Here is a 23,368-nt window from a genome sequence, read left to right as displayed (position 1 = left end):
CACGATGCCCAGAGACTCCAGGCTCAACCCACATTGATGCTGGCCCTTCAGCCATGAGACTCCATTTGCTTCTCCTTATTCTCCTTCTTTTTTAAATTCTCTTATCCCCAGGTAAGTTGGTAGCTGATTACTATAAGGTTCTGCAGATCAGAAGGCTATATCTCTGGCCAGACAAGATACTAGAATCAGTCCTGTGGGTTCAAGAACCTAATATTTACAGCTTCACTAGGATTATAATAGGGAAAAATAGAAAAGGGACTCATTTAGCAGTAGCTCCTGTTGATAAGATTCCATCCATGTCTTTTGACCTAGTGAGTGGATATAATAATCGATGCTGCTGAAATTCAATCCTATCAGATGAAACTGCCTACATGTAAATTTCCATGCCCCACCAAGCACCTCAAGATACAAAGTAAAGATACAACAGAATGTGACCTCAATGAGATGCCTTTGCGGGACATGGAAATTTATATGTAGGCAGTTAGATCTGACAGGATTGAATTTCTGTGGCATCTATTATTATATTCACTTACTAGGTCAAAAGAGATGGATGGAATCCTATCAATAGGAGCTACTGTTTAATGAGTGTTGACAAATCTGAAGGTTTTATTTGAAGAGACAAACGGAAAAATTATAATCCTAGAATAAGTGAAAATTATATGAGAGACTTTTCAAAATAAATTATGTTTTATGCGGTTATGAATAAAAAATGATTTGCAAAGTGAAAGTGAAAAGTAGAAAGGAAAGTTAAAGGAACTTCAGACAAGTGAATTAATAAGGAGCAAAGACACCAAGAAGTGCTGCTCATGGTATATTACAGGTAACCACACAGAAATGGGTAACATAACTTTCGATACAAAAATGGCTAAAATTTAATGGGCTAAGCATGCATTTTGGGGGCTTCTGGGAAAAAAAAACAGCATAATAACCCTAAAGAAGATAAAGGGAAAATTATAAATACAAAATATAAATTAATGAAACAAATGAGAAAAAACTAGTATTTTTAAAAATGTTTTTCAAAAAGTCTAATACACTTTATAATAACCTGGCAACACTGAACAAGAGAAAATGAGAACATGCTTAAAATAACTATTGCAGGAATGAAAGGTTAATATCAAAACAGATGTTTCAGAGATCCAAATAATTTTTAAATTTGTGTATTATATTCCCTCTTCGCTGTGTACCTGGGGATTTTCCTGTTGCAGTTCACTATATCATGACCGTGTCATTAATTTTGATGCTAGTAAATTATTACCATCAGCATACAAATATGCTGTTGTTTTTCTGATCTAAGAAAAAGAATTTCCTTGCTTTTCTTCTGATGCCAGCTGTCATCCCATTTTTTGCTCTACTTTTCAACAAAACATCTTAGAATAGTTGTCCATACTCTCTGTCTTCAATTCCTCTCCTCTCATTGTTTCTTAAATATATCCCAATCAGGCTCTTTCTCCCTTTTTCGATCATGATATTGACACCACTTTTGTCAAAGTTACGAATAATCTCCACATTACTAGATCCAATGATCATTTTTCACTACGACTTTAATCGGCCTATTAGCAGCATTTGACACAAATAATCACTTCCTTCTTCACAGTATACTTTCTTCAGTTGGCTTCCAGGACGGCACATTCACTTGAGTCTCAGCCTGTCTCACTGGAGCTACCACTTCGGCTTCCTTTGTTTCTTCCTCATCTTTTGCATCACACCTCCTATAGGAGAGCTGCAGAGCTCAGTTCCTGGTCCTCTTCTCTTCTCCCTCACCACACACTCTTTGGAGGGGCTCAGCAAGTCTCATCCCTTTCAATTCTCCTTTTGGACCTCCTTTTGAACTCCAGGCTTAAATAAATTATCCAACTGCATAACTGGTATATCTACTTGGACACTTGATTTCAAAAGTAATATATATCCAAAACCAAACTCACGATTTTCCCTCATAAACCTCTACATACACATTTTTTCTCTTCTTGCAGAGTGCCATGGTCAGCATTGGAGCCTCTCTTAGCTTTTCTGTCCACTTTCATCCTCAGCAAGCCTCTATCTCTGCACCTCAAGAATCTCTCAGGGCTTCCATCCCTTGCCCAACCTCGGGCAGTAGCTGCCTCACACTCAGTGAAAGACCAGAGAATCTACTTCTCTCAGCTACCTGTCCTGCCCTGCCTTCAGACCTCATCAGGCCTCTCTTCTTATGCACCTGTGAGAACAGAGAGTGAAGGGGGTTTCTCTCTGCTCCCCAACCCACTCCCCAGTAACAGAGGATTTTCCCCGATTCTCACAGTGCGACCTCTACCTTTCTTTGATCTCTAATTGCAGCAGTTCCTACATGCCTGTCCCTCAAAAGTGTCTCAGGTAGTTCTCCTGCTCTCCATCTGATCTTACCTAGGAGCACACAAGATAGGTCATGAAAAAACAATTAGTGGGGCCGGGCGCCGTGGCTCACGCCTGTTAATCCCAGCATTTTGGGAGGCCGAGGCACTGTAATCCCAGTACTTTGGGATCACGAGGTCAGTGGCTAACACGGTGAAACCCTGTCTCTACTAATACAAAAAATTAGCAGGGTGTGGTGGCACGTGCCTGTAGTTCCAGCTACTCGGGAGGCTGAGGCAGGACAATCGCTTGAACCCTAGAGGCGGAGGTTGCAGTGAGACGAGATCGTGCCATTGCACCCTAGCCTGGGTGACAGAGTGAGACTCCGTCAAAAAAAAAAAAAAGGAAGAAAGAAAAGAGAGAAAGAAAGAAAGAAAGAAAGAAAGAAAGAAAGAAAGAAAGAAAGAAAGAGAAAGAGAAAGAAAGAAAGAAAAGAAAAGAAAAGCATTAAAGCATTAGTGAGTGAGTGAGTGTGTTTGGGCCCCTACTGCTGCTAAACTATCACAAGCCCACATTCAGCCTTTCAACATTTGCTTGAGGTTCACTTGTTTCCTTCTTATCTCCATCAAGGGCAGCTTCCTCCTGTTTCTGCTGCTGCAACTCAGGTACACACAAATCATCTGTGGATCCGTTCTTTTTTCAGTAGGCTTTCATTACTCTGAATTTAAGTTAATTAGCTTTTTTTGAGACCTCAGCTCTGTCTTTTAAAATGAAATCTATGATCTATAGATTATCCAGCTTATTCTCTTGGTCAGGGCAAGAGCATTTTTCTATAACTTTCTAAATTCTAAACAAAAGTAAAAGTTCACTTCTTTTCAGGATCCCCCCCATGTCAGAAAGTATTACTATTATCATCAGTTTAGTGATATTTATGGAATTCCAAGTTGACTCTGAGATCAGCTTTTGGGTTAAATTCTTTCTTCCTGATATATAGCCTTTGAAATTTTATTTGCTGCAGATCTCTTGATAGTGAACAATTTTAGTTTTTATCTGTCAATTTCATATTTTTATTTTTGTTCTTGAAAGACAGCATTACTGAGTACCCAATTCTATACTAACAGTTATTTTCTCTCAACATTTGTTGATACTAGTTTACCCATTTTTAGTTTTTGCTTTACTATAATAATCAGATAAATATTATTTCATGATAAATTGTCCTTTTTTCAATGTTTATATGGTCTGGTGTTTAGTTTTAATGTTTTATAATTTATAATTTAACTAATGTGAATTTATTTTTATATCATCTGTTAGAAATACGTTCTTTGAATCAATGGATTTATACTTTCTCCTAATTTCTTTTTGAGAATCTCTTGAAACGGTGAATCCTCTTACACTTCTCTCCCCCCATATTTGAATTAAATAAATGTTAGACCTTGTGTTTCCATGCTACATTCTGGGTATATCATTTAAGCATTTTTTTCTTTACTAATTATCCTGTTACCTATATCTAATATATCATTAATAACTTGCATTTATTTTTAAATTTTTTTTTAATTCAGACCTGCCTTTGTGTTTTGTTTTGTTTTTTTGGAGACAGAGTCTCACTCTGTTGCCCAGGCTGGAATGCAGTGGTACAGTCTTGGGTCACTGCAACCTCCACCTCCCGGGTTCAAGTGATTCTCCTGCCTCAGCCTCCTGAGCAGCTGGGACTACAGGTGCCCACCACCATGTTCAGCTAATTTTTATATATATATATACTTTTTTTTTTAGTAGAGACAAGTTTTCACCATCTTGGGCATGCTGTTCTTGAACTCCTGGCCTCGTGATCTACCCGCCTCGGCCCCCCAAGGTGCTGCAATTACAGGCATGAGCCACCACGCCCAGCCAGATCTGCCCATTTTTTCTATCATCTATATTGTTTTACTATTGATTTTACATCTTTGTAATAGTAGACTGTTTCTTTAAACAATCAATACACAGGTGCTTAATTATTTCTCCACATTGACAATTTCAACACATTTAGTTTTCAAGGATTTAAATGTGCTATTCATTTCATTAACTTTTATTCATGCTGTCTTGCTTACCTGATCATTTTTAATACTGAACTCATTGCTCTTCCTTAATCTGCCATCATTCTACGGTCTGAAATGAGAATGCTATTATCCAAACTTCCTCTGTGAAACTGACTCAATGCTTTATCTCAATATGGAAGTTCCAGGATTAACGAACTGGAATTTCTGATGGCCCAAGAGTCAGTAGTACCACCATTAGCATTACTGATAATAGCAGATCATCCTAGAAGATCTGGGAAACCCTCACCCACCTCCATCAGCTAGCCAATACAAAGTACCCAGTGCTCAAGCTCCAGTTCACAGACTATTTTTTGTATTTGAAAGAGGAGATATTTTAAGAACTTCCCTAACCATTTTCAAGGATAGAAATGTTTCAAAGAGATCCTCTAAAATGTATTTGTTCGATAGCAGCAGTCATTTAAGAACAGCTAACTTGCAATCATGGCCAAAAGCCTAAATCTTTCTTTCATTCTAATCACAGATATTTTGTATCTTTTGGAGATATCTCAGATTCAGATGTATTCATACTATTCTATGATTTGGGACACTGCTATAGATTCTTCAAAATGTTACAACATTCCAGTGGTATTTTGGGAGGTATGGAAGGAGAGGAAAAACAATGGGCTCAAGTCTCCCCTGACTTCTCTTCTTACAACATATTTCATTGTCCAGAACTTTTAGAACTATATTAATACAACATTGACAGTGGGTATTCTTCTTTTCCTTCTGATTTTAATAGGATTGAAGGAAGTGTTTTGCTATGAAATTGCTATATGCGTTGTATTCAGACAAATTTTGACTTTGTAAAGGCAATATTCTTCTCATTAATTTAAAATGTTTACCAGGATTCACAGTATTATTTTCAATTCTCCCCATTCAAAGGCATATTTAAATAACTTGATGAAAGGGGAATATTATATATGTTACTCTACTATGGAAACAGAAAAAACCACCACCAAATTGTATTCTAGATACTTTGTACACCAATTGCACCATCTTTTTTTATCTAAGACATTCAATTCTTCCACAGGCGGAAGCACATGAATTAGCATCATTTACTACTTGTAGTTTTCACTACAGACTTTCAGACCTATGGTACCTAAAGGAAATAGAATGCTTCTAGCTGGGTTTAAAAGCTACAAATAAACAGAGGAAATATACACTATTTTGAAAGTACCACTTGAGTGTTCTGTATGTATTTCAATATTATGTTGCTAATTTTAATTGTTCAAGGTTAAGGAGCTTAAACCTCCTCCTCATACATTCCTGAATCATCCATTACTCCCACACATACATTGTTTGATACAGCATAATCCTAAGTAAGTAAAGAGGTAGCAAAATGAAAAAAAATAAAATAATGTGATACCATTCTCATCTAGGAATGGCATCAGTGGACAGATGTGAATAAAAGTAATGTGATTATAATTTTAAAAATCATATTTAATAGGATCCATTTATTATTAAATGAACATTAAATTACTTAATGTATAATAAATCCTTAACACAATGAAAACTCTTAATGCAGAGTGAGACCAAAATGAAGGTATTAACTGTTTTCTTCCTAATCCTTGCTTTAGTTGTTATTTCCACCAGACCGTCACTTTATTTGAAGGATATTGTAATAGCACAAAGCCCTCAGCTTTACCATTAGAGAGATCTTCCTTAAATTATCTTTGTTGTAATAAAGGTCATCTGGAGGAAATACTGGTCTGAATACAATAATAAATGTTAAGCTTTCTAGTATTTTCCACTTTTAGACACAAATTGAAAGAATCATTTATAATGTCAAAAACACTTTTTTCTAACTAATCTATTCTATGCCTAAGACACTACTAGCAATTAAAGTAGATAGATCAAATCTAAATGTGGAGAGAAAAAGTAATTTCTACTTATGTTTAAACAGATGAAAGCATGAATAAATTGAAAGCCTGAAATATTAGCTTGGGGGAATAACGTCACTTTTGGGGAGCAGGAGCAGGATATACCAGCCTTTAGCTCTACACCCTCCCCGCAAGAAAAATATATATAGATAGTTATGTACAAACCAAAATAGCCCTGGCAGGGTTCAAGGGACCATTTAAGAAACTATGGCAACACAGTGAAGCCAACAAAAAAAAAAAAAAAAGAGAGAGAAAGAGAGAGTGAAAGAAAAAAAACTAGCCATATAGAAAAAACAGCTGCTGAAATCAGCATACCTGAGATGCCAGAAACATCTTTTTTGGCTAGAAACAAAAACAGAAAGGGACTATCTGTATCAGCCACAAGGTGGAACCACCAAGGCCCTCAGTAACCCACTCTGGCAGAAGACACTGGCATTTTTTGCCACTGGAGTAAGCAACATCCCTTTCTGACAGAAAACCCAGAGAAAAAGATGAAGAGGTACCATCTCCTCCCACATCCCTTTTCCCCACCAAAAATGCAGTGACTGTTGGGCCAAACCAGGATTGGAACTGCTACCTTTCTTAAACTGCATGTGTCTCTGACATATGAGCAGCAACCATTTCAAGAGCTCCCACATAAAAACGTTCATACTAAATTTATTCTGTTACTTAAGAGTGTTTATGGATTTACATTCCATTTGTGGACTAATTTTCTCACTGGATCTTCTTTCCTGCAGTAAGAGGTGATTTGGGTCCTGTGGAAGGTCATTGTCTCAATTTGTCTGGTGTTTGCAGAAGAGATGTCTGCAAAGTAGTAGAAGATCAAATTGGTGCCTGCCGAAGAAGGATGAAGTGTTGTAGAGCATGGTGGATTTTAATGCCAATTCCAACACCACTTATCATGTCAGATTATCAAGAACCCCTTAAACCTAAGTTGAAATGAAACTGAGACAAAATAAAAATACATCAAAAGTGAAGTTATTTGCATCTAAGAACATTAAAATATACATATTAAGTAATTCCATCTTGATAACCATCTTGCATTTTCACTTATCAACATAAATGAATAAATACTAATTTCAAATATACCCAAGTACTATTTCTTTGTGAGTCATTAACAGATCTTAACAAAACTTTTAAAAATGAGAAAACTGTTACTTTCGTTTTCCAAGATGGTGGATTGAAGGCATTGTTAGTTTGCCTCTTGCACTTGAAAAGACAAAATGGCATGTAGAGACTCACACTGTGAACTTTCTTTCAAGAAGCAACACAGGAATTTAACAGGAAAATTGAAATAAGCCACAGACCATTTGAAAGAAACGGCAGGATGCAGCTTACACCATAAGCTAGGCAGAAAATTGTAAGTTTCCAGGGTGTGACAGGAGGGTAAACTGACTCTAAGATATACACTTCCACTGGGAAACCTATCAATCCAGGCCGTGAGGGAAGGCCTTAACCCTACTCAGCGCTGGAGCTGATTTAGGGAAGAGTGGTGAGTATATGAGGAGTGGCATTGGGATGTGCTTTGAATCTCCAGCACATTCCCAGTTTCTGGTAGAATGGAGGGAAGCCATTTCTGATTCTACCTCAGACAGGACCTCCTAGAAGTCTGCCAGCTAACTCAGATGGTGGTCACAGGTTGAGACAACCTCCCAACTGAAATGTGTGATATAATCTTGACTGGGGACAAACTCCCCAGGCCAGAACTGAGAGGTGAGTGGGAAGTGTGCTGCAGCAGCAAGCACAGGAGCTGAGGGCCCCTGCTCTGCAGGTGGATCAGGAAGGGTGTGGCCTGAAGTTTGCAGTTGCTGTCTCTATAAGGGAGTCTTATGGTATGGGTCAGTTTTGAGTTCTGAGCTCAGACTTCTTGAAACTTAGCTAGCTACTCCCATTGGAACACTGTGGGTGTGAGACCTGCCTTGCCAAGTGTGTGGGAGCTGGATGGGGCTTACTACCAAGCTGCTACTCCCCATTCCTCATATGGACTCTCCTTGTACAGAGGCAGAGACAGCTTCACTTCTCTCTGGAAAATTACTCCAGTGGCCCAAGAACTGCCTTCCAATTCCCACTGGAGCCACTGCTTGTCCCACACATAGACAGCCAGAGCATCACCTTACCTGACCTAGTTCCCACCTGGCTTTGCTCAACCACCTACCCTGGTAGATTAACACAAATAACAGAAGAAACTTTTAGAAGCTCTATGGCTCCACCTATTTCCTGAGACACCAGAGTGCCTCCCATGGGTAACATAAGGCAAGTCCAAATCTCACCACTACCACCACAGCTGGCAGTCTTTTGGAAGCACCACCTCCTGGCTGAAGGCCTACTGACAGTCCTTTACAGCATCTGCAGGTAGAATAACATAGCACCCAGGAAGGAGAAAAGTTGTGAGTGACCACAACTGTTACCATTGCTTGCATCATTCTGGCTAAGCAGGAGGCCATGAGTCTGTCCATGTGATGAGTTCATTACTACTACAACTGGCATTTGAGAAATCCAATACACAACACACTAGGACTATTTATAACCAAGGAATCTTTCAGAGTCTACATCACTCCCCTGCCATCCCCATCTGATCAGCTGCTGATACACACTGCTGTGAGACTTGAGGACAGATTATATCACTGGATCCATTGCAGATATTCTTGAGCACCAGCCTGGTGTGCGGCAGCCCCACTGGGTAGCTAGACCCAGAGAAGCAGCAGCAGCATATGCAGTAATCTGAATTTCAGGGACTCCTACTCTGAGGAAAGAGGAAGCACACCACATCAAGGGAGCACCCTGGGGACAAAATAATCTAGATGACCTTGAGTCCCAGAACATTCCACTTGTGGGAAGTTGTTTGGTGGTTTGTTTGTTTCTGTTTTTTTTCCAGCAGAGGAACATGTGCATGCTAGGCTCAGCGAGGAAAGTCTGTAGCTATAGCTCAACAATCAGGCAGCCTTGATGCTCAAGAAGAGTCTTGGAGAATGGAGACTTATTTTCCATCTCATACACTACTGCAGACACAATAGTACTGTACTCAGAGCCAGTGTACTGAGGTGAGTGGCCATAAAACCTACTGAGACACCAGCCAGGACAGCTAAAGGAGTACTTGCATTACCACTCCCCCAACCCCAGGCAGCACAGCTTGCAGCTCCAAAAAAGACTGCTTCCTTCTGCTAGAGGAGATTAGAGGAAAGAGTAAAAAGGACTTTGTCTTGCATCTTGGATATCAGTTGAGCCACAGTAGGATAGGGCACTGGTCAGGGTCATGAGGCCCCCACTGTGGATGTAACTAACTTTTTTTTTTTTAATTTTATAGGCTGATAGGCAGAAGGGACTTGTCTCAAATAAGACTTTGGACTTGGAGTTTTGAGTTATGCTGGAATCAGTTAAGACTTTGGGGGACTGTTGGAAAAGCATGATTGGCTTTGAAATATATATAAAAGACATGAGATTTGGGAGGTGCCAGGAGCAGAATAATATGGTTTGGCTCTGTGTCCCCACCCAAACCTCATCTCAAATTATTATCCCCACACATCGACAGAGGGACCTGTAATCGCCATGTGTCGAAGAAGTTTACTTCATGTTATCCTCATGATAGTGAGTGAATTCTTAGGAGATCTGATGGTTTTAAGAGTAGGTGGTTTTTTTTTTTTTTTTTCTGTGCACTCACTTCTCTCCCTGCCACCTTGTGAAAAAAGGTGCCTACTTCTGTCTTGCCTTCCACCATGACTGTAAGTTTCCTGAGGCCTCCCCAGTGATGCAGAACTGTGAATTAATTAAACAACTTCCCTTTGTAAATTACCCAGTGTGGGGTAGTGTCTTTACAACAGTGTAAAAATGGACTAATACAGGTTCCCTGAAATATTCTGAGTCCCTTTGGAGGCAAGAATCTCTTTATACCAGCATGGTATACTGATGAAGTACATCCTGATCTCATGGTCTGAGAAAGAATTTATACATACCCTTTATGTGTCAGCAACTCTATGTGAAGGCTTTTGAGCCCCAGAATGGGCTTTCTTGCCCCATCTAGTCTATCTAACATTTTTCTAAGCCAACTCAATGTCTTTCATCCACACTGGGATAGGTCCTAAATTGCTGTCTGTTGCCCACCTGAGATAATGAGATGTTAAATCAGGTGTGTGTGACCCAGATACATCTATCTGAGTGGCAGGAGAGGGTCTATCTGTTCACAAGAGTCTCTGCAACATTTTCTAAGTCAGTTCAGAAGCTTATTGATTCACGTTTGCAGGAAACGTAGCCATGAGAAAGGTCTCCAAAAATTCCTGACCTTTTGGAAATTTTTAAAGTCTCCACAGGTTTCCAGAGGTGACTGTAGCTGCACTGAAAGTCACTGCCTGGATAACTGGCCTGTTAAAGCAAATGCAAAATACGCTAAGCCCACTAAGGATACCCAGAAGCCATGGTATTCAATTAATTTTTGTCTTTCTTGCAGGTGGGAGAATACTGAGGATTATGCCCTCCTATAGCCAGTGAAGGTTATTCCAGTGCCTAGATGTACCAGTCAAGAGAGGTCATGGGAGAGCAGATGGCAGAAAGGGCAGCCAGGTCCTTTCGCTGGGGTTTACTGTTTGTCATGAGCTCTGCTGCTGGGCAGCATGTGTGATTTCTGACTCCTGCCATGTCCTCAAGAAGCCTTGCCCCATCAGCCAGCTGTACTACCTCCTGAAAGCTGGTGCATGTTTGTTAGCATGGAGATCCAGAACAAGAGTCACTTTAGTATTTATCCATAGAGTCCCAATGTGTGCACATGCTTACCTGCAGGTTGTTTTTCCTATTTTCTGAATGTTAATCCTTGCCTTCTGGAACTCAACATTACCCCCTGTGGCCAAATATGGGATAATTGTAAGGGGAAACTGCTGTTTAGGTCCCAAGTCCACAGGGTTGTATTATTATCAATATTAAAATTGTTAATTATGGATATTAGTATCATAATAATCATCATCATTCCTGTTAATACTCATCAATATGTTTATTATTACTATCATTAAGATGGTTTATTAATGTTATTATTCAGTAATAAATGTTTAGTTTCTCCACTCACTCAGTCAAACTGGAATCTGACTCCCGATATGACTATGGATATGACTGCATATGACTATGAGGGTTACCCTGCAGATATAGACATGAACCGCTGTCCCAGAGACAGCTCTTGCAGGCACTAATTGCTCTTTCATAGGATGAGTTCCTTACAGGAGAGAAGGGCTGATCTCCATGATGTGGTTTCCTCAGGGTCTCATTAAGGGCTGGTGATACAGGAGCACTGCCTACCCCTCTTCCTCAAGTGAGAGTGGTACATTCTCTGTTGTCATGGCTGGGATGGCTCCATCTTGAACATATAAATTCCAGGTTGTAGAAGCAAAAAAGCAAAAGATGCATTGGATCTGCATAGGGAACTGCAAGCCATCCTGCAACCTCAGGACACACTCAGAAACAACCACGTGGACCACATCGCCCAAGCTCAGCTGCATGGCTCTCCGTTGGGGTAGGACAAGGACCTCTTCCACCAGGCTCAACTGGAGTCCTATCCCTGGTCCCAGGACCACAAGGAGCATCTCTTTTTTTGGAATCACACTGCTCCATTCGAAGGACAGCCCTCAGTTCTCTGTCTTCAAAAGAGGCTGCAAATGGTGCTGATTGGCAGGGAGCCGACAGCAGCAACACCCTCTACAACTTTAAAATAAAAATGTCTCCCAGGGTGGGATATTATGCTGACCCTACCTAAAAGCACATTCCCTAGATGTTGCTTGTTGCCTGGAGTTTGAACAGCATTGTCCAAACTTTGCCATTGAAGAACAAGGAAACTTACCTGGGGTAGTTGCAGGAGTAGGCCTAAATCCAGGTGTGAAGATCCTTGAACTGGGGGTGTTTCTGTACCTGTAGAGATTGCAGACTGGGAAAGGTAAGGCTCTGGTCCTGCCAGACTCTCTAGAGGTTAAGAATGTGATCTGCAGAAAGACATGAACTAGCACAGGCAACTGTAGAACATCTGCCCCCAAGAATCATAAATGCCTTTTCACTCATCCTGCAGAATGCACTCTCTACTTTAATGATCGTGTGGGATGTGACTTTAATTTGTAGGCATGAGGATTGATCTTAAGAAAAAGCAGGGAAAGTGCCTTACCTGTTCTGGGACTCTGCTCCACTTGCCAACATTTGAGTGGATTCATTTGTGTTGTAGTCAAGCTACAGGAAATAAAGGGACCAGTCAGTCTTCCACACAATGACACAGAGGCCAATTATCACAAGTCCAAATCTCCATTTGTCATCCAGCTCACATTCCCGTTGTGGCACAAGGACACATGCACTCGTGTCCAACTCCAAATAGTAGCTTCACATAGTATGTCAGCACTCTCCCACCATCATCTCTTCTAGAAGGTCTTCCGCTGGATTGGAAATGGCCTGGGATAAAAGATAATGACCACAGGAAGCAGTTGTTTTTTTAGGATCTGATCCACATGAGAAGGTAGGACATCTAATTTGGTCTGAGGACTTTAGCTATGCTAATATTTCAGGTAACTGTCCCCTGTGTCTATAGAGTTACATTGTGAATGGAGTGAGAGATGATGAAAACTGTTTTCTTTCCTAGTGAGTATGAGGTAGAACCCTTATATCATGCTCTCTGTTGCCTGTTCTCCATACAGAGCCATCTCCCATTTAGAGAGAAGACATGGATTGTCAGTGGGAGCAAGCCTGAGACATGCCCACTGGCAGCTCCCAGAAACCCCTGAAACCTGGCCACATCCTGAAGTTTCCACTGTGGGTCTCATGCCTCCCTTGGTATCTTGAATTCAGAACATTTAATGTCATGGCAGGCCAGGGAACTTCCTCTGCTCTAGTTTGGCTCTCTATCGCACATTCACACCCACACACACACACACACACACACAGTCACACACACTCACACATCAACCTACTGGCAAACCAAGGTAGAAACACACACACATACCTGCTCAATCCAGGCCAATATCCCTGATGAACATTAATGCAAAAATTCTTAATAAAATACTAGCAAACGGAATCCAGCAGCACATCAAAAAGCTTATCCACCACAATCAAGTCGGCTGCATCTTTGGGATGAAAGGCTGGTTCAACATACACAAATGAATAAATGTAATTGATCACATAAACAGAACCAAAGACAAAAACCAGACAATTATTTCAATAGATGCAAAAATGCCTTTGATAAAATTCACCATCCCTTCATGTTAAAAACTCTCAATAAACTAGGTACTGATGGAACATATTGCAAAATAATAGAGCTATTTATAACAAACCCACAGCCCACATCATATTGAATAGGCAAAAGCTGGAAGCATTCCTTTCAAAAACTGGTACAAGACAAGGATGTCCTCTGTAACCACTTCTATTCAACATAGTATTGGAAGTTCTCACCAGGGCTATCAGGCAAGAGAAAGAAATAAAATGTATTCAAATAGGAAGAGAGTAAGTGAAGTTGTCTCTGTTTGCAGATGACATGACTTTATATTTAGAAAACCCCATCATCTCAATTCAAAAACTTCTTGAACTGATAAGCAACTTCACCAAGTTCTCAAGATATTAAATCATTGTGCAAAAATCACAAACATTCCTTTACATCAACAATAGTTAAGCAGAGAGCCAGATCAAGAATGAACTCCCATTCACAATTGCTATAAAGAGAATAAAATACCTAGGGATACAGTTAGGAGTACAAGAGATGTGAAGGACCTCTTCAAAGACAACTGCAAACCACTGCTCAAGGAAATAAGAGAGGACACAAATGAATGGAAAAACATTCCATCCTCATGAATAGGAAGAATCAATATTGTGAAAATGTCCATACTGCCCAAACTAATTTATAGATTCAATGCTGTACCCATCAAGCTACCATTGATATTTTTCACAGAATTAGAAAGAACTATTTTAAATTTCATATGAAATCAAAGAATACCCTGTATAGCCAAGACAATTGTAAGCAAAAATAACAAAGCTGGAGGCATTACGCTACCTAACTTCAAACTATACTAGAAGGCCACAGTAACCAAAACAGCATGCTACTGCTGCCAAAACAGACATATAGACCAATGGAGCAGAACAAAGACCTCAGAAATAACCCCACACATCTACGACCATCTGATCTTTGACAAACCTGACAAAAACAGGCAAGGGAGAAAGGATCTCCTATTCAGTAAATGCTGCTGGAAAAACTGGCTTGCCATAGGCAAGAAACTAAAACTGGACCCCTTCCTTACACCTTATACAAAAATTAACTCAATATGGATTAAAGACTTAAATGTAAAATCCAAAACCATAAAAACCCTAGAAGAAAATTTAAGCAATACCATTCAGGACATAGGCATGGGCAAAGACTTCATGACAAAAATGCCAAAAGCAATTGCAACAAAAGCCAAAATTGACAAATTGGATCTAATTAAACTAAAGACCTTCTGCACAGCAAAGAAACTATCATCAGCATGAAAAAGCAACCTACAGAATGGGAGAAAATTGTTGCAATCTGCCCATCTGACAAAGGTCTAATAACCAAAGTTGACAAGGAACTTAAACATATTTACAAGCAAAAAAACAAACAACCCCATCAAAAGTGAGCAAAAGATATGAACAGAAACTTATCAAAAGAAGACATTTATGCAACCAACAAATATATTTTTAAAAAGCTCAACAACACTGATCATCAGAGAAATGAAAATCAAAATTACAGTGAGATACCATCTCACACCCGTCAGAATGGCGATTATTAAAAAATTAAGAAACAATAGATGCTGGTGAGGCTGAGAAGAAAGAGGAAGGTTTTTACACTGTTGGTGAAACTGTAAATTAGTTCAACCATTGTGGAAGACAGTATGGCGATTCCTCAAGGATCTAGAACCAGAAATACCATTTGACCCAGCAATCGCATTACTGGCTATGTACCCAAAGGAATATAAATCATTCCACTATAAAGACACATGCACACGTATGTTTATTGCAGCACTATATACAATAGGAAAGACATGAAACCAACCCAAATGCCCTTCAGTGCTAGAATGGATAAAGAAAATGTGGTACGTATACACCAAAAAATACTATGCAGTCATAAAAAGGAATGAGATCATGTCTTTTGCAGGCACATGGATGAAGGTGAAGCCATCATACTGAGCAAACTAACACAGGAACAACAACAACAAAAAAAACAAATACCGCATGTTCTCACTAATAAGTGAAAGTTGAACACTGAGGAAACAAGGACACAGTGAGAGGAACAACACACAACACAGCCCGTTGGGGGCTGGGGGTGAGGGAAGGAAACTTACAGGATAAGTCAATAGGTGCAACGAACCACCATAGCAGAGGATACCTATATAACAAGCCTGCTCGTTCTGCACATGTATCCTGTATTTTTTAAATTTAAAAAGAGGAAATACGTACATACGTACATACATGCATACATACATACATACGTACGTACATACTTTTGAAAAACGTCTATACAGCTTGGATCTTCATTCCTGATAAGCCAAGGAACCTGGAGAAACACCAGAATTCTGTCCCTCTGAGAATGCCGGACAGGTTTACCTTCATCACCATAAAATTTTGGAACAAATGTGGTAACTGCAGGTTCTCCCCACAATGAGTAACTGAAAATTGAGGCAGTATTGCAGATCCTAAAAAACTGATGAAGTAATTCACCACACATTTGGGTTGTTTTTGCCTTTTCCTACTATGAAGATTGCTAGTAGGAAGAATGGTGTACAAGTATCTGTTTGATTCCCTGCTTTTAGAATCCTTTGCTTGTTTGTGTGTTTGTCTGTTCCTTCTTGAGACAGGATTTCACTCCAGTCAGCCAGGCTTTTCCAGTGTGTAATTTTTGTTGTTTCCTTTTGTCAAGTTTTAGAAGTTGTTATTTTACTTCTATTGAATTTTAAGGCATTTTTAGATATGTATTAAAACATTATCACACATGCCGTGTGTTACATTGCAATTATCTTCATCGTTCCTTTAAGAAACAAAAGGTTTTAGCTTAGATATCTTCCAATTTGTGAAGCTTTTCTGATTTTGACTTTTTTAAAAATGATGTCATATACAAGAAACCCTTGGATTAAAAATGCCATGAATATTTCTCTCATACACACAAACTGTTTAATATGTACACAATTGTTAAATAGCATTGTTATATATGAAATAAGGCAAATGTTTAGCTACTATCCTAGCCCGGTTCCACACCTAACATATTTGCTCATAATACTGACAAGTAAATCTGCTTCAACTCTTCCATAGTCACAGTGTAAGCAGTGTCCATTAAATTCTCTGAGGAATGCAAGAGGATACAACCTAAGACAAAAAACTTAATTGAATCCTGATATATTATTAGTAAATAGGGTAATTGATGGATAAATGTAATGGTCTCGGTGGGTGGACAGTAGTTATATAAGGGCTGATGCAGCAAGATAATTATTTAAAAGAGTTTGAAAGAAATGGAAACAGAAGAGTGGATGTATTCAGCTAAAATAAAATCCGGAAGCCCTGAAATAAATCTCATTTTGGGTGTAAAAAAATGGCATTAGAGGAGATTCTGGGTCAATCATCAAGCTGTGAAAGCTGCATCTTGGAAGCAGGATCCCTGTAATGCAACGAGACTTGTATATCAGAGGTGGTCTTTCAGTGGAAAAGATTTTGAAGAATGGACCCTTCCTTTTGTGTATTTGACGATTAGACTTCATGCCAAATCTCGGGTTTAAAACTCTATTTAAACATTAACAGAATTAATTAAAATGGCAAAAAATCAAGAAATTTTTTGATTAGGAATCATCACATATTCATTTCTTGTTAGGTACAGTTATCAAAGATGACCTACCAGAGAGAAACGATTGTGGAGAATGGCCCCTTACTTTTGTATATTTGCTGATAAGATTTCATAGTCCATTTATCATTAGGTACAAAGATCAAAGTTGACCTACCAAAGAGTTGAGATGTCCAGGACAGAACTCAGGGCTCGGTAGAACCACAGAATCTTGGGTGAAATATTGCTCAAGAACAAAAATGTGCTTATTCAGAGTGTTTGTGTGTGACATGTGTGTGAATTAAAGTGCAATGAGCATGACACGCAGGCAGGACATCAATTCGGCTCACCTCAAAAGCAGTTATGAGCATTAAAGGACAACAATTCCTAGGTCCCGCTTAAAGAGATAAGACCATCCAACACCCTGTGTGAAGCCACGGCATCTGGATTGCTCATGTTTCTGGGGAACATTCTTCTGAAAATGGCGGCTCCTTTCTCCCTGTGGAGCATCTTTCTAAGCAGTGCTCCTTTCTTCCCCCAGGACACTTTACATCGGGCATAGGAAGCCTTCTGATGAAGCACACCTGGCCCATGAAAAGACAAAGGAAAGAAACAGGGCCAAAGGTCACAGCCCACTCATTTCATCACCATCCTTAAAATCATCCTAATTTCATGGGCCATGAAGCCAGGGCTGTTTCTTTACACCCAGAGGCCTTGGCGCCGGGCCTCAATTCTGCCCTGTTCCTTACTGTCTAAGACATTTTGGGAAAATCCCTAGAGCCAGGATCTTCATTCCTGGTAAGCCAGAGAGCCTGAAGACACACCCAAATGCTGTCCCTCTTAGTTCAGGGAACATGTCCACTTTCGTCAGCATTACAATTTTTGCATCAAAGGTGCTAACTGCAATTCCACCATACAATGCATAACTGGAAATGGAGGGAACATCTCAGAGCATGAACAACCGATGCGAGAATCCAGGAGATACACGGTTTATTTTTGCCATTTCCCAGTGAAACAAGAGCCAGTATTAAAAAGGTTATGCTACCCTCTGTTTCACTCACTGCTTTTAAACGTCTCCGATGTTTTCTTCTTCAGACAGGGCCTCACTCCCGTCACCCGGGCTTTTCTACGGTATAATTTTCCTTGTTTGCTTTTGTCAAAATTAGAACTTTTTATTTCATCTCTATGAAATGTTGATCCATTATCACGTAAGTATGGAAATAGTATCACCCATGCTGTGAGATACGTTGTTTTTATTTTCATCAGTTCTTTAATAAACAAAAGCTTATAGTTGGGATACCTTTGGATTTCTCAAGTTTTTTGTTTCAAGTTTTCTTAAACTGCCGCCGCACGTCCGAAACCACTCACTATACAATGTCAGGACCATCTCTCTTTTCTGGCACACATAAATTTGGGGAATGTCATCAATTAGTCTCTCGGTGATTGCATGATTTCCCCAAAGTCTTTCACAGCCTACTTTGTGCACTGAGTAACTCTTCAAACTTCAGTGCATGTTTCTACCATTTGATGCTTTATTATTTGGCAGCCTAGCTTCCACAAGAGCATTTCATGCAAAGACTTGTCTTGTTCTCCACTGGCCAGTAATTTCACTCGGATAGAGAGTCAATAGGCTGAACGTGGAAAGGTTATCCCTGGAAGGTCTGTTTGATGCCACGGATATCTCCTTTATTATTAAGGAAGAAAATACGCTGTGCTAAATACTATACTTCATTGACTATTCTCAGGTCAGAAAGCGCACTTCAGACTTCTTGTCCTTCCGTCGATGAGAGGATGACGGTAGCTGCCAAAAGTACATACTTGGAAGTTCATCCCAGCACAAGCACACACACACACACACAAACACACACACACACACACACACACAGAGAGATACACACACGGTTTCATAGGTAAAGATTTCTTCCCTGACATTCTTTTACCTAAAATAAGGCAACTGTGTGGCCACTGTCCCAACCCGGTTACACTCATATTATATGTGCCTATCACCCTGAGGAGTAATTTGATTCAGGTGTTCTAGAAGTCATGATGTGGGCTGTGTCTGTTGAATTCCCAGCGATGCAAGGGGACACACCCTGTGACTCATTCCTTAATTGAGTGCTGATATTTGATTGGTTTATCGCACACCTGATGGGTGGGTGGGGTGTTCGCGGTTGGTGGGGGTGAGTTATATAAGGGCTGATGCGGCCAGAGAGCTCGTCATTTGAAGACTCTCTTGGAAGAGATAGCGTCTTGCTGCAACCTGCAGTCCCAGCAGAAAAACCTTGTGATCCTTGTTGCGGGCGACATGGAGGACGACTCACTCTACTTGGGAGGTGAGTGGCAGTTCAACCACTTTTCAAAACTCACATCTTCTCGGCCAGATGCAGCTTTTGCTGAAATCCAGCGGACTTCTCTCCCTGAGAAGTCACCACTCTCATCTGAGGCCCGTGTCGACCTCTGTGATGATTTGGCTCCTGTGGCAAGACAGCTTGCTCCCAGGAAGAAGCTTCCTCTGAGTAGCAGGAGACCTGCTGCGGTGGGGGCTGGGCTCCAGAATATGGGAAATACCTGCTACGAGAACGCTTCCCTGCAGTGCCTGACATACACACCGCCCCTTGCCAACTACATGCTGTCCCGGGAGCACTCTCAAACATGTCAGCGTCCCAAGTGCTGCATGCTCTGTACTATGCAAGCTCACATCACATGGGCCCTCCACAGTCCTGGTCATGTCATCCAGCCCTCACAGGCATTGGCTGCTGGCTTCCATAGAGGCAAGCAGGAAGATGCCCATGAATTTCTCATGTTCACTGTGGATGCCATGAAAAAGGCATGCCTTCCCGGCCACAAGCAGGTAGATCATCACTCTAAGGACACCACCCTCATCCACCAAATATTTGGAGGCTGCTGGAGATCTCAAATCAAGTGTCTCCACTGCCACGGGATTTCAGACACTTTTGACCCTTACCTGGACATCGCCCTGGATATCCAGGCAGCTCAGAGTGTCAAGCAAGCTTTGGAACAGTTGGTGAAGCCCGAAGAACTCAATGGAGAGAATGCCTATCATTGCGGTCTTTGTCTCCAGAGGGCGCCGGCCTCCAAGACGTTAACTTTACACACTTCTGCCAAGGTCCTCATCCTTGTCTTGAAGAGATTCTCCGATGTCACAGGCAACAAACTTGCCAAGAATGTGCAATATCCTGAGTGCCTTGACATGCAGCCATACATGTCTCAGCAGAACACAGGACCTCTTGTCTATGTCCTCTATGCTGTGCTGGTCCACGCTGGGTGGAGTTGTCACGACGGACATTACTTCTCTTATGTCAAAGCTCAAGAAGGCCAGTGGTATAAAATGGATGATGCCAAGGTCACTGCCTGTAGCATCACTTCTGTCCTGAGTCAACAGGCCTATGTCCTCTTTTACATCCAGAAGAGTGAATGGGAAAGACACAGTGAGAGTGTGTCAAGAGGCAGGGAACCAAGAGCCCTCGGCGCTGAAGACACAGACAGGCGAGCAACGCAAGGAGAGCTCAAGAGAGACCACCCCTGCCTCCAGGCACCCGAGTTGGACGAGCGCTTGGTGGAAAGAGCCACTCAGGAAAGCACCTTAGACCACTGGAAATTCCCCCAAGAGCAAAACAAAACGAAGCCTGAGTTCAACGTCAGAAAAGTCGAAGGTACCCTGCCTCCCAACGTACTTGTGATTCATCAATCGAAATACAAGTGTGGGATGAAAAACCATCATCCTGAACAGCAAAGCTCCCTGCTAAACCTCTCTTCGACGACCCGGACAGATCAGGAGTCCGTGAACACTGGCACCCTCGCTTCTCTGCAAGGGAGGACCAGGAGATCCAAAGGGAAGAACAAACACAGCAAGAGGGCTCTGCTTGTGTGCCAGTGATCTCAGTGGAAGTGCCGACCCACACGTAGGGGTGAACGCACACACACACACGCACAAATACACCCACAAGCGCGCACGCAAACACACACACACACACAAACACGAACACCGTCAATCCTACATAAAGTAATGAGGAGTCCAAGTTTCTGTCTCTACAACAGGGACAACTGGATAGTGATGGCTGCATCTCAGGATGAGCCCACACATGGGAAACATCAAGTTTTGGGGTCGTGAGTCTTCCGAACCTCTGGAGAGACTGTCTGTGTGTTTGTGTTCATGGTAGATGACATTCACTGTGTATTTCTGAATATGACCTACTGACGTGTAGGTTTGAGTGTGAGGTTATTGCAGGGGACTCGGTTTCCTATTTTCTCTTGGGGTGTGTTTCATTCGTCAGTTGTTGGGCGGCACGAGAAGGTGAAATTTTGCTCATGTGGCACATCCATGGATCATTCTCGCCACCTTGAATAGTGGAAACTGGAATGCATTTAGAAGATAGGAACGGTGCTCTTCTTTCTTACCCTGGCTCACCGTTTTTACATTGGTTTCTGAATGGACCTCAGGCGCCCTGGGACTTGTGCTCTTGCTGGAACCCACATAACGCCGGAAACAGACAGACCGACTTGCCTGTTTCACGATGTCCAATTCCAATGAGTCGAAATGGAAAATTTTCCCACTGGCATGTCAGTCATTTGGAAATAAGTCGTATTGATAATAAAGGAAATCAAACACAGGAGTGTGTGTATTCAACTGAAATAAATTCAGAAAGCCCTGAAATAAACCTCATTTGGTGTGCTTACAAATGGCATTTGGGGAGATTCCGGGTCATTCGTCCAGCTGCGAAAGCTGCATCTCTGAAGCACAGTCCCTGTCCTGCAATCAGACTTACGTATCCGACGTGGTGTTTCCGTGGAAATGATTGTGGGAAATGGCCCCTTGCTTGTCTGTATTTGCTGATTAGATTTCATGGTCCCTTTCTCGTTAGGTGCAGTGATCAAAGTTGACCAACCCCAGAGGAAAGCTGCCCAGGGCACCACTCAGGGCTCCGTAGAACCACAGAATCTTGGGCGCAACCCTGCTCAAGCACCCAAATGTGCATACGAACAGGGTCTCCGTGTGACGTGTGTGAAAACTACAGTGTGATGAGCATGACTCGCAGACAGGTTATCGATTGGGCTCCCCTCAAAATCAGTTAGGAACATGAAAGCACACCGATGCCCAGGTCCCGGCTGCAGGAATAAGACCCTCCGACGTCTTGTGTGAAGCCACGACATCTGCATTGCTCATGCTTCTGGGGATCATTCTCCTGAAAATGGTGGCTTCTTTCTCCCTGTGGAGCATCTTTCTAAGCAGTGCTCCTTTCTTCCCCCAGGACACTTTACATCAGGCGCACGAAGCCTTCTGATGGAGCACACCTGGCCCATGAAAAGACAAGGGAAAGAAACGGGGCCAAAGGTCACAGTCCTCTCATTCCATCATCCTCCTTAAAATCATCCGAATTTCATGAGCCCTTGAAGCCAGGGCTGTTTCTTTACACCCAGAGGCCTTGGCGCCGGGCCTCAATTCTGCCCTGTTCCTTACTGTCTAAGACATTTTGGGAAAATCCCTAGAGCCAGGATCTTCATTCCTGGTAAGCCAGAGAGCCTGAAGACACACCCAAATGCTGTCCCTCTTAGTTCAGGGAACATGTCCACTTTCGTCAGCATTACAATTTTTGCACCAAATGTACTAACTGCAATTCCACCATACAATGCATAACTGGAAATGGAGGGAACATCTCAGACCATGAACAATCGATGAGAGAATCCAGGAGACACACGGCTTATTTTTGCATTTTTGCCTTTTCCCTGTGAAACAAGGGCCAGCATTAAAAAGGTTATGCTATCTTCTGTTTCACTCCCTGCTTTTAAACGTCTCCGATGTTTTCTTCTTCAGACAGGGCCTCACTCCCGTCACCCGGGCTTTTCTACGGTATAATTTTCCTTGTTTGCTTTTGTCAAAATTAGAACTTTTTATTTCATCTCTATGAAATGTTGAGCCATTATCACATACGTATGGAAACAGTATCACCCATGCTGTGAGATATGTTGTTTTGATTTTCATCAGTTCTTTAATAAACAAAAGCTTATAGTTGGGATACCTTTGGATTTCTCAAGGTTTTTGTTTCATGTTTTCTTAAACTGCCGCCGCACGTCCGAAACCACTCACTATACAATGTCAGGACCATCTCTCTTTTCTGGCACACATAAATTTGGGGAAAGTCATCAATTAGTCTCTCGGTGATTGCATGATTTCCCCAAAGTCTTTCACAGTCTACTTTGTGCACTGAGTAACTCTTCAAACTTCAGTGCATGTTTCTACCATTTGATGCTTTATTTGGCAGCCTAGCTTCCACAAGAGTATTTCATGCAAAGACTTGTCTTGTTCTCCACTGGCAGGTAATTTCACT

The 23,368-nt window shown here is 41.3% G+C and overlaps 1 protein-coding gene, 1 long non-coding RNA gene and 1 pseudogene across 2 annotated transcripts in view, besides 1 other annotated feature; 2 read left to right on the top strand and 1 right to left on the bottom strand.

Moving 5' to 3' along the window:
• DEFB109D (defensin beta 109D (gene/pseudogene)) lies at positions 53–7,124 on the top strand (annotated as a pseudogene).
• FAM66D (family with sequence similarity 66 member D) overlaps positions 6,898–23,368 on the bottom strand; it is a 35,408-nt gene continuing 18,937 nt past the window's right edge. Inside the window, exons 3-6 of the long non-coding RNA NR_027425.1 lie at positions 12,541–12,664; positions 12,387–12,448; positions 12,072–12,155; positions 6,898–7,090 (exon numbers count right to left, since the gene is read on the bottom strand). This is a non-coding gene — a long non-coding RNA (family with sequence similarity 66 member D). The remainder of the gene's footprint in view (positions 7,091–12,071; positions 12,156–12,386; positions 12,449–12,540; positions 12,665–23,368) is intronic.
• USP17L2 (ubiquitin specific peptidase 17 like family member 2) lies at positions 19,238–21,652 on the top strand. Its single transcript, NM_201402.3, has one exon. It carries the CDS (start codon positions 19,327–19,329, stop codon positions 20,917–20,919), a length of 1,593 nt encoding a protein of 530 aa, NP_958804.2. The 5' UTR covers positions 19,238–19,326; the 3' UTR covers positions 20,920–21,652.
• Positions 20,742–21,243: an enhancer, noted in NCBI's record as "H3K27ac hESC enhancer chr8:11994353-11994854 (GRCh37/hg19 assembly coordinates)". NCBI's record gives its function as "activates a minimal SCP1, AML or CMV promoter by ChIP-STARR-seq in primed H9 embryonic stem cells {active_cell/tissue: H9 hESC(primed)}" and the evidence as "EXISTENCE:reporter gene assay evidence [ECO:0000049][PMID:30033119]".

This window comes from Homo sapiens, chromosome 8 (assembly GCF_000001405.40).
Source record: "Homo sapiens chromosome 8, GRCh38.p14 Primary Assembly".
Lineage (NCBI taxonomy): Eukaryota > Metazoa > Chordata > Mammalia > Primates > Hominidae > Homo > Homo sapiens.
Note: the sequence above shows the minus strand (reverse complement) of the source record. Positions and strands in the feature narration are given on the sequence as shown.